At 34.6% G+C, this 11,858-nt stretch overlaps 1 protein-coding gene across 32 annotated transcripts in view; it reads right to left on the bottom strand.

Annotated features, from left to right (window-relative positions):
- Positions 1–11,858, bottom strand: part of TUSC3 (tumor suppressor candidate 3) — a 434,904-nt gene that overhangs the window by 123,107 nt on the left and 299,939 nt on the right. The gene's annotated exons all lie outside the window — the stretch shown is intronic.

The following is an 11,858-nucleotide window of genomic DNA, read 5'->3' as shown; positions in this document are numbered from 1 at the left end:
TGGTCATATCTCAATGTTCCTGGCCTTAATCTACCTGAAAAATCTGCTTCATCTGACCACTCATTCTCTTTAATATTTTCTTCACTTGACTTCCAGGACCCCAATCTTGAGGATGAGTCTACCTCATTGGCTCCTCCTCCTCCGGAAGGAGAAGGCTGTTCCTTTCCTTCTTTCTAGACTCTGGAGTATCTCAGAGCTCAACAGGCTTAGGCCTCTTCTCTCTACTCAGCCTTCCCAGGTGTTGTCATCCAGTTTCATGGCTTTAATTATGTCTATATTGATTCTCACATTAGTATCTAATCTGATATACTGGAAGTCTGATAACAGCTAAAACGAAACTCCTGATATCCCTTTCTATCCCAGCACCTGCTTCTGTCCCATTCTCCCCTAACTCAGGAGAGTAACTTAATTTTTCCAGTTGTTTAGGCAAAAATCCTGGAATCACCTTTGTGTCTCTGTCCTTACTTTTCTTTCACTCTTTTCCTTGCCTTTATTCCCTCCTTCTCTCCTCCCTCCCTCCCTCCCTCCCTCTCCACACATCCAATCATTCAGAAAATACTGTTGGCTCTACTTTCAAAATCCATTCCAAATTCAACCACTTTTCACCGCTACCAGGAAGAACTAGGAAAGGAGGCTAAAATATAAGGCCCAAAGATTTGTCTGATCCAGCCACTCATCATCTCTTGCCTAGATGATTGCAATAGCCTCCTTTATTCTCCCTGACTCTACCCTAGAGTTGATCTGTCATTCAGATGAATACTGTCAAAACTATCCTATCATTACTTTGCTCAGAACCCTTCAATGCTTTCTCAGATGTGTGAGAAAAACATCATATCATGTAATGCATTTTGTATTTCCAGTCACAATAACAAGAAACCTATGTATTTCTTTTCAATTTAAAAATGCAGCCAGGTTAAAATAAATCACACTTTGTCCTTAGAGACTTATTTCATGAAACTGATCTATAACACTTGTAGCTTATTTCTTGTATACATAAGGCAGGAGAGAGGAAAGGCTTTAGAGACAGTCCTGAATTTGCCATCTACTAACTGTGTTATTATGAACAAACTACTTAACCTCAATTATTTTTAAAATAGGATTAAGAGGATATTCCTCAAGATACTTTACTAAAAATCAAGTAAGATAGTATGATATACAATAGTGTAAGTGATCAAATGTAATCAAACAAATCATTTCATAGTTTCCACTTCAACAAACTTTGTATCTTGTTCACTTGATCTTAGCCAAAAGGCCGAGAAGCTGTTTCTATCTTCTAAACAAACAGCATTCAGAAATTCATTTCCTTTTCACAAGTGAACTTAGTGTGCTGAACTGATAGTTTTAAAATATAATATTCAGGAAGGTATACTAACATTTGACTTTTGTACTTCTTTTTTTGTGTGTGTCTTCAAAATCACATCAAAACCAGATACCCTACGAGCCTTCAGGATTTACTTAGCTTGAATTTGTTTGCAAATTTTTAATTGATCAATTAGTATGTATCAGGCACCAATTCAGGCAACAGAAATCCAGCAGTTATAGGAAAAAATACCTATATTCTCAAGCAGCTTACAAATTACACAAATTACAGCTACACAAATTACAAGAATACATTTTGTCTACTAATGTGCAACAAAGAGATTACTGGCACACACCAAAAGCTATAAGAGTAAGCACAAGAATACCAATGAGTAAGTATTGCAAAAGTCTTAAGGATTGACCTTAGATAGTTAGCTTTCATTTATGGGGCCCCTGCAGCAATGACTTAATTCACCTAAAATTAACCTTAGGTCTGCGATTTTAAGCTGGTCTTAAAAATTTGTATCTAACAGATGCATATACTTTCAAAATCCTTTGAAAGAGGGAATATTGACTAATGAATTCCCTGAAAGCTAAAGCATGATGTTCATTTATTTATTTTCCTCTCTGATATTTTACTAATTCTCATGAGTGAGGGACGTATCAGTAACTCAGGATAATTTATTCTAAAATATATATTTAACTAAGGGCAATGCATTTTCAGATCAGGTGAATAGTCAAGAAAAAAATGTGTGCAGGCTTTGATAATGGATACCGATCAATTCTTCCAAAGGAACAAATATTTTGAGAAACCATTAATATAAATGTTTTTTAGTTGTCTAATCCATTGAATATTTCTTTTCTTTTTCTTTTGTTTTTGAGACAAAGTTTCACGCTTTTCACCCAGGCTGGACTGCAGTGGCATGATCTCGGCTCACTGCAACCTCCGCCTCCTGGGTTCAAACGATTATCCTGCCTCAGCCTCGAGAGTAGCTGGGATTACAGGTGTGCACCACCATGCCTGGCTAATTTTTGTATTTTTAGTAGAGATAGGGTTTCACCACGTTGGCCAGGCTGGTCTCAAACTCCTGACCTCAAGTGATCCGGCCAGTTTGGCCTCCCAAAGTGCTGGGATTACAGGCGTGAGCCACCGCACCTGGCCCCATTGAATATTTCATAGAGCATATGAACCAACATAAAATAAAAAGTGATTCAATAAAAAAAGGTTCATAAAAATAAGGTTATAACAAAATTCATTACCATGACTCATGACTTACTTAAAGCCCAATTTTATGCAGAAGACAAATAGCATAGCATAATATGAAAAAACAATATATATGAATGATACTATGTTCTTAATTTCAAGTAACATACTTGAAAATAAAAAATTATATATTTTGTTTAATATTAGTGTTTCTATACCTCTTATATGGCAATATCAAGAATGAATAAAAGTAAAATGGAAATTAAGCTAAATATACTATATATCAGTATGTGAAATAAACCTGATTTTACTTAAGTTATTACTGAATTCTTGGGAAGATGACACCAGTCAGTACGTTCTGGTTTTTCAACATTTTTAAATTGTGCTAGTGGTAAATACTCCTTGAGGAGTCCTTTTAAACACGTAATGTTCCGAAAATAAGAATGGCTATGGTGGACCAAAAGGTTACTTGAAAAGAGAGCTAGGGTAACAAAAAGCAAACTAAACTTAGAAGTCAGTTTCCAGTGTTAATAATAGCCATTCAATTTAATGAAGTAGTTGTTACTTAATCAGTTCAGTAATTTGGGCCTCAGTTTCCTAATCTGCAAATTGGAAACTGACAGCATGAAGGAAACAATGTAGTGCAGTACTTTATAAAATCGATTTTAGTCATATTCCCTGAAGTCAATTCTCTGTCCTGGGTTTCATGAGTAAGACCTTTAGCAAATTACTCTAAACTTCAAATTGTTAAGCTCTTTGATCAAAATAATAAAATGTGAGAAGTGAATTGATAATACATGTAAAATGGCCTAATGCCTGAAACACAGCAGGAAGCCAATAAATGTAATCTACCGTCATCATCATCATCATCATCATCAGTCATCTAAGATTCAAACGAGATTCCAAATTTTAATGTCTTAGGTCATATGACTCACAGATGGTAAAATTAATCTCCACTGGTTGATGCCCACTGTTAATTCAGTAATAGCAAACTATATCTGAGTTAAATTCTCTTGCCAGTGAGTAATTTGTTTTTGTAAATTTATGCAAGTCCCTTATATACCCAACCTGATATTATCAGCCTTGAGAGCAAAAGATACTAACAAACGTGTTTGATTAACCCTAACAATGACTGCTTTAGTTAAATGGGCTTGGGATCAAAAGTAAATTATAATATAAGCAGAGTGCAAAAAGTTGTTCAGTAATACATATATGCCAGAAAATAGCTATTTTGAAGACAATAATACACAGGGTTAAAATTAATTATTTCTCTTTTATTCACTGATAAAGCAGTGCTGGCGTCTCTGCTTTGGCATATAATCCTTACTAAAAAAAATTAAAAATGCTTCCATCAATCCCATGAAATTTTGGAATTTTGATCATTTTTAAAATTATAACTTATTTTAAAAAGAACCATTTATAACATTAAGTAAATGACAAATGAAACTAAGATTTGACAGTGTTGGATGATACCCAAATGATGATTTGTCTCAGTTTGGGTCAAATCCACAAAAACTCTTTTTGGTCCCTTCTTCTTGCATTTTAAAATACATGATTGCAAAATAAACCAAGAGCTTGTCCGCAGCTAGAGGAAACATGGGTGATTATCTCTCACTAACTATATGAATTCTTTCAGTCCAATTTTGTCATGCAGTTTTATGCAAATCAGTATGAAATGACATGCAAACTTTTCCCATCTATTTTCTTTCACCCTCCTTGAAAACATCATGAAAAAGTACTAGTGTAAATCCTTTCAGCCTGTTTCAGTCCTTTATTCACTACCTGCCAGAACAAGGGCAATGGACATGCAAAATCTAAGAAAATCTTTTAAGTGATAATCTCTCAACTGTTTAGCATCTGATTCAGTACTCTTTATGAATACAAAAATTATTGCCAAAGCAAAAAGAAGGAAGAAAACATGATAATTTACTGTCAACCTAAAAACGAAACAGAGGGAAAAAATCTTGTATTTTCCTTGACAACACTTCTAAGAAGTCAAAGGGTTGCCTTGCTGTTTTTAAACGAACCTATCTCTGAAATTCATCTTAACTATTTAAGATTTTCCAGTAGAAGAGCCCTAGTTTTCCTGATCAATGTCTATATAAAATGACAGATCTGCTTTTCTGTGCATGACAGATTCAGTTTATTTTTACTGCGTGTCTTAGTCTGCTTGGTTGCCCTAACAAAATACCATAGACTGGATGGCTTAAACAACAGAAATTATTTTCTCACAGTTCAAGAGGTTCAAAGTCCAAGATGAAGGTGCCAATGGGATTGGTGTCTGGTGAGGGATCCCCTTGGGCAGAAGACAGCCAGCTTCTCACTGTGTGCTCACATGACCTCTTCTTTGTGAGCAGACAGAGATAGGTAGGCGTCTCTATACTTTCCTCTACTTATAAGGCCACCAATCCAATCAGATTAGGGACCTTCTCTCATGAGCTTATTTACAGTTAATTGCCTGCTAAAGACCCACGTCCAAACAGTCACACTGCGGGGTTAAGGCTTCAACATCTGACTTTTAGAGGGAAAGAATTCAGTTCATACCTCTCAGTAATTCTAAGTGAATAAGATAGCACTTCAAAACCTATCAGCTAGTGGGAATGTAGTCATGATACTAGTCCTGAGTCTCCTTTGTGTGCTAAAATACTAAGAATTATTTTCTTTTCAGTTTCTTTTTTAGGATACTAATGTCCAGGAAAGGATACTTTTGAACTCTTAAGATAGGAAGTATCTTGGGTCATCACTGTCATTGCACAAAATAAGCTTAAATCCCACTCTAACATTTTAATAAAAGATTCCTCTGTTTCCTACTAGTTACATGTTTGTAGTCCTATCCTTGGGGCCTTCTTTGAGGCAGCATTAGTTCTTACTAGGCTCTACACCAAATGGCAGATGTGATATAGATGATAAAATTCTCAGGCCAAGTCTTTCTGGATTTGCCTGAAAGAAGAGATATAAAGAGGTATTATCTACATCCAGGTGACAAAAAATGCCACTTGTTGGATTTCCCCAGAGGCTGCACATATCTTGTGCTTGAAATTCCTAAGCACTTCATTAAATATTTGGCTTCAACTAAAAAATGATTACAACAGAGAAATAAAACAGTTCTTTATGAAAACAGTGACAAATCTTGATTACTTGCCACTCAAAGAATTTTGTCTCTGTGAGGTGTCAGCAATAAGCCACCATTCTCTTTTCACTGGAAGTTGCAGGACATCGTTTAGCAATGTCTCTGCTGAACTTACTGCACGATCTGTTGTGGAGTATGAAATTCTTACCTGGCCCAGGCATACTCCAAAAAGTCATCTTAGAATTTTATTTTCCTATTTGAGGATCAAAAAGGTTGATACTTAACCTAAGTCAGTGGTTCTCAAAAGAATTTCAAAATAGTGTGTGCATGAAACTGACCAGAGATATTTGTTTAAAAAACAGATTTTCAGGCTCTATATATGGAAACTCCTACACAATAGGTCTGTGGTAGGACGAGAAATTTGTACTACTAATGAGCTATAAGCTATGACTAAATAACACTAAATAACTACATTTTGTGGGAGGCTGTATGGGAAGGAGCAATGTGTAATATTGTGAAAGCTTTCAGAAAGGCTATATATTCAGGGAAAACTTCTCACAAGTAAGAAGGGTTTTTTTTTATTTAAACAGTTTTTTTAATAACAAATGAACTGCTACACATTCAGATAAAATATCTTACCAGTGTAAGATGATTTGTTTGTTTTTTAACAAAAATTTTCCATTGGAACAGTGGGAGTCCAGAGCTCTACAGACAGAAGTCATATAGAGAGCTGTGGCAAGTTGCACCCAAGCAACAGAAGATTCTGTATACATGAAGTGAATCAGGCAGGTAAACAACACCACATAACAAACGACATAGTTCTAAAAATTCAAATTGCAGTCATCCTGTCTAGTATTCTCAGAGAGTCTCTAGAATACTATAAGAGGCATGGTAAATATTATAGGAAGAGAGAAACTGAGCCTTTTGGAGATGGAAGAACCAAATGGTGGGCTAGCAGCTCCTAACCAGAGACTAGATTCAGTCCACAGATTTTTGGTTAACTGTGACCCCATGCTTGGTCTTATTCAGTCCCTTCTTCATAAAAAGTTATCTGTCCTGATAGTAAAATGGAGAAATAGCTCTCCTGATGAGCTTTACCTTTATTACCCTGTCAATAAGACTGGTAGTCTAGGTGTTGTAGGTAAAGGAAAAAAAAAAAAAAGAAAGAAACAAAACCCATCAATACTAAGGAAACCCTAAGCAGACTATGCTGAAATAATTCACGATAGCTGCCCCTCCGTAGAAAGTCAGCCAACAAAAACATAGACTGCAGGTATGGAAAACTCCCAGGATCCTAGGATAACGTAAAACAACCCTAAGCCCCAGACACTAGTGAGACAGCTAATGGGAATCAATTGTGTTTCAGCAAACACTTTATACTTTGTGATCAAAACTGTTAAAAGGAGAGCTTCTCATTCTACTATATTTTCCAAATAAATGTTGAGACAACAAAAATATAATACTATACTATTAGGATAGTAGTATACTATACTATATATTTGTATATATATACAAAAATACTATACCAATTAGAGAGCTTCTCATTCTACTATATTTTCCAAATAAATGTTGAGACAACAAAAATATAACCTAGATGAAGTTTCTTCTAAACATAAACTTTAAAAAGTCTGTCCTGTGACTGAACTGCTTAAGTAATTTTAGTAATTTGTGTTTTATTGATAACATATTTCTAGACTTACAGATTTCATTTTGTTCAGTAACAAAGAAAAACTGAAATGTATAATTACTTTCATAGAATTTTCTTGTGTTTAACTAAATGCAATTAAAAGTTCAAAATGAAAAAGTATTACATCCTTCAGCATTTTAAAATTCAACTGAATAGCTTTTAATGTGAATACAGAAAATACATAAATCTATGCTGTAATTACTTTTGTAGCTGTCACATCACGTATATATGAAAAGTATAATCTCTGTGTGTGTGTCCATTTTAATTTTTATCCTGGGGGAAAAAAAGCAACTTGATCAAGGAACATTAATATTCTCATATCATTATTATAAATGTAAATCCAAAATGCAAAACAAAAAAAACTTTTATGGCTTAAAATTTACATAATTCTGCATTAAGGATGAAGTTACTCATTTCATATCACCAAATATTTTGCACTTGTGATTGTCTAAGAAATGAATTAGGAACAGGTTCTCTGTGCCCTAATCCAGATTTGCTAATAAATTGAATGATTTCCCCAGGAAAGCTATGTAACCACTCTGTAATTCATTTTCTAAGTACAGATCATTTTTTCTTACTTATGGGGTGATTAGGAGATAAAAAAAGATGTTATTATCAAGCAAAGTCTATAACATGTGTTTAAACAAAAAATAGGTAAGAATCATTGTCTTCTTCGAAGCATAGTCTATCTCTTACATTTTCTTTTTTTGATGTACCTATGAATACGAATGTCCATAATACTCTTCAGTATTCACATGAAAATGCTTTCATAATTCTGTCAGCACATGAACATGGATGACAAGAACCCTGGGTGGCCAGGGAATTACTCTTTAATAAGGAACCTTTTAACATATTTGTTATATTGCCCTTCGATCATTATCTGGATTTGTATTTATTTGTGGTCACTGCCTCAATCGCAATATAAGCAAAATCTCTTAGTGCCATTATATCATGCTAAAATGTCCAGTACTTCAGATAGCTTTAATTTACATTCTTGAAACTTCTCTTATATGGTCTCAAGAATGACATTTCCCCTAAAGTTCACCTAATGCCAGCAGCTTTAGAAATCTAATGTCATCCATTTGCTCTGTATGTCCAGGACCACTGCATTCTGATGAGCAAATCTGGAAAGTCACTGCTTCTAAATCTTTGACATCAGAGACTTTATCTTGACATCTGATGTGAAATATAGCACAACAGTATGATAAATGAAACGTGTCTAAGAAATAAAAATGGCACTGGTAAGGATTCAGACATTAGGCCTATATAACATGGTTGACAGTACCATGGCTTTGCTTTGCAGGCCTTCAGACTGGGTTTAACTAATAATGAGTGTTACTGGTTGAGGCTGCCCAATGAGACTTAAATTTTGAGGTAATTTTATATTTCTTTAAGCTTGCTATTTGAAGGCTACAGATGAACAAAATTCATCTTTATATTTAATCGGTAAACTATCAGTGTGAATCAAGGTATATGAGAAATGTTCTCTCTGTGTGTGTGTGTGTGTGTGTGTGTGTGTGTGTATATATATATACACTATATTTAACAATGATATATCACTTCTGCTTCTACTATAAATACTTTTTGGCACTCAGCCTGGGCAACACTTTGAGACACTCACTGTCTCTACAAAAAATAATTACTTGAGTGTGGTGGCAAGTGCCTCTAGTCCCAGCTACTCAACATGCTGAGGCAGGAGGATCACTTAAGCCCAGGAGTTTGATGTTATAGTTAGCTGTGACCATGCCACTGCATTCTAGCTTGGGCAAGAGTAAGAGCTTGTCTCTACAAAAACAAACACAAACCTTTATAGCACTAAACACAATACTCATGTTTAACAGAAATCTCATACACAAATGATTTGGATCTCTGGCTCCATACCAGGCTGCGAGGCTTGAATTCTGTGTAGAATTGAGCTTTTTATTTAGGCAACATATGGCGCAGTTTCCTGGCATGTGAAATGGGGATGGAAGGATCTCTACTTCATTAAGGTAGTTATAATAAGTTAAAGTTTTTAGAAAAGTGTGACATAAGCCTTCAGTGTTAGCTACTGTTGTTGTATGTTAGTTTATTTATTCTACAAATATTTATTGAGTGTCTAATACATGGCAAGTTACATTCCTAGGCAGGTGAGATAAAATAGTGAACAAAGCAATGATCTCTAGTCTCATGGGGCTGTGTGTGTGTGTGTGTGTGTGTGTGTGTGTGGTGTGTGTGTGTGTGTGTGTGATGAACTGTATACTATAAGTGCAAAGTGCTGTAAGAAAAGGAAAAGCAGAAAAAAGTAAGGGAGTCAGAAGTATTGACAATGGGGAGCAGGTTGCAATTTAAATAGGAAGAAGGTCAGGATAAACACCACAGAGACATCTTTGGCATCTGAGCACAGTTGTGAACAAGGCAAGGCAGTTAGTCACATGGATTCTGGGGGAAGCACATATAAGAGAGATGGAATAATGGCCAGCATGAAGGCCTTAAGATAGAAACATGTTCAAGGAAATGTAAGAGGGTCAATGTGCTGGTGAAGACTTAGATGTTATTCTGAATTACATGGTGAGTCATAAAAGCAAGACTGTAAGAAGAGTGACATGAACTATGTCAAGAACAGACTATAACGAAGCAAGCATAGAAGCAAGGAGACCAGGGAAAGTTTACTACAGTAATCCAGACAAAAGATGCTGATGACGTAAAGCAGTTTGACAGCAGGTGGTAAGAAGTGATCTTATCCTGGAGCAGGTGGTAAGAAGTGATCTGATCCTGAATATATTTTAAAGGAAAAAATATATACATATATATGTACATATTTGAAGGAAGAACGACAAGATTTCTTGTTTACTGTGTGTTTTTATACAAAAGGCAACAACATTAAAACTGATAGGATGTATAGTAAAGATTTAGTTATTTTAATGTCCAAATTCACAGTAAACACATATTTGAGTATTTGTAGTAATACAAATATAGACCATTTAAGTTCAACTGAGGATATATGAACTTCAAATAAAATCAACATAAGTTATATATCTAAGTTTATGAAAATTAAAGAGGTCACCAAAATGGTAAATTGTATGTTAATTATAAGAAAAATACATGACATTATTTGTCCATGAAGTTCTATTCTCTTTTTATATTTCTCTCCTTTAGAAGATGTGTATCGTTAAATTCAACAGCTCTTTTACATGAAAGATCCCATCCCAGCCAGGTCTATATTTTCACATCTTATGATGTAACTACTGGTTGACTACATTTTGACTTGATATCCCATTTGAATGTCCTAACACTCTAAAATCAAAACTGTACACATAAATGTCAATATTCTCCATGCAAACAAATTTATCTTTCCAGCACTCTATGCATCTATCAATATTACAACCATTCTTCTAATGACCTAAGCTTCAACTTCGGCACCTCTACCTTACAATCCATCACAAAGCCAACGGGCATTTCCTATTCTCTACTGCCACTTTTCTATTACTTTGACCCAACTGATTCTGTCTGAATGTTTAATGTATCACGCTTGGATTATCACTAATCTTTACTTTCCAATTCCTCACTTCTAGTTAAATCTTCCAAAATCACTACTTTCATCAATCTATTACTCACAAACATTTGAAAACTTAAAATTGTTTAGAGGTAATTCAAAACCCTTGGCAATCTATGTCAAACATCTTTGAATCAATCAATCAATCAATATCTAGTACTTAGATATTCTGTTTCATAAAATGCAAAACACAATACAAAACATAGTGTCTTGGCTCAAAAGGAAACATAGTATATATACTTAAAAATGTCTAATCATGCAAGGCAAAATAGAATCTTCATTCTCTTTTAAGTATTTTGTTTAACACTCAAGATTTAGCAGAATATGATGTGAATCTGCGCTTGAGTTAACCTCCTTTGTAACTAGGGATAAAAGTATTTTTCTTCTTGAGAGGTGCTATAGGATTCAGCAGATCACAAATTAATAAAATTGGCAATTAAGTTACATGGTACAAAATGAAGAATAGAATTTTGGTGGCCAATTTAGCTATATGTCCAAATGAGTGCTAGAGAAATAAAAAGTTGAAATTACAGTAGGCTGACATGGAAAGACTCCAAAGATGGTTAACTATAAACAGAATATTTTAATGTAGATTATATTGAGATAAGTACGTAATACTGCAACAGGATTTCAAACAGGTACAGTGTGACAAGGAAATTAATAGAGGATGGAAAGCAAAACTGTTTATCTGATCTTACTGGGAAGGAGTCTGGAGATAGATATGATTGGGATACCAGATTATGTACAATTTTCTTTACATTTCTATGAACAAAATCACATATTTCAGTAAAAGCAGTCTCTTCGTTACTCTCAAACAATCTTATCCCCATTTTGACCTCTATACAGGTTCTTAAGGCTGTTCCATCTCTTTTCCTGATTCATCTCAAAAAATGATGTTTCGTCTTACTGATAAACCAAAATTCACCTTGATTTTAAGGCCAATTCAAATTCCACCTCCTTTAATGAAGTTTTTTTCTAAAATTCTGCCTCAGGATAATATTTATTGCTATTAAACTATTCCAATACTTACTATCTATAACATTTGACCTGTATTTTAAACATA

This window comes from Homo sapiens, chromosome 8 (genome assembly GCF_000001405.40).
Source record: "Homo sapiens chromosome 8, GRCh38.p14 Primary Assembly".
Taxonomy (NCBI): Eukaryota; Metazoa; Chordata; class Mammalia; order Primates; family Hominidae; genus Homo; species Homo sapiens.
The sequence above is the reverse complement of the archived record's forward strand: the minus strand, read 5'-3'. Positions and strand labels throughout refer to the sequence as shown.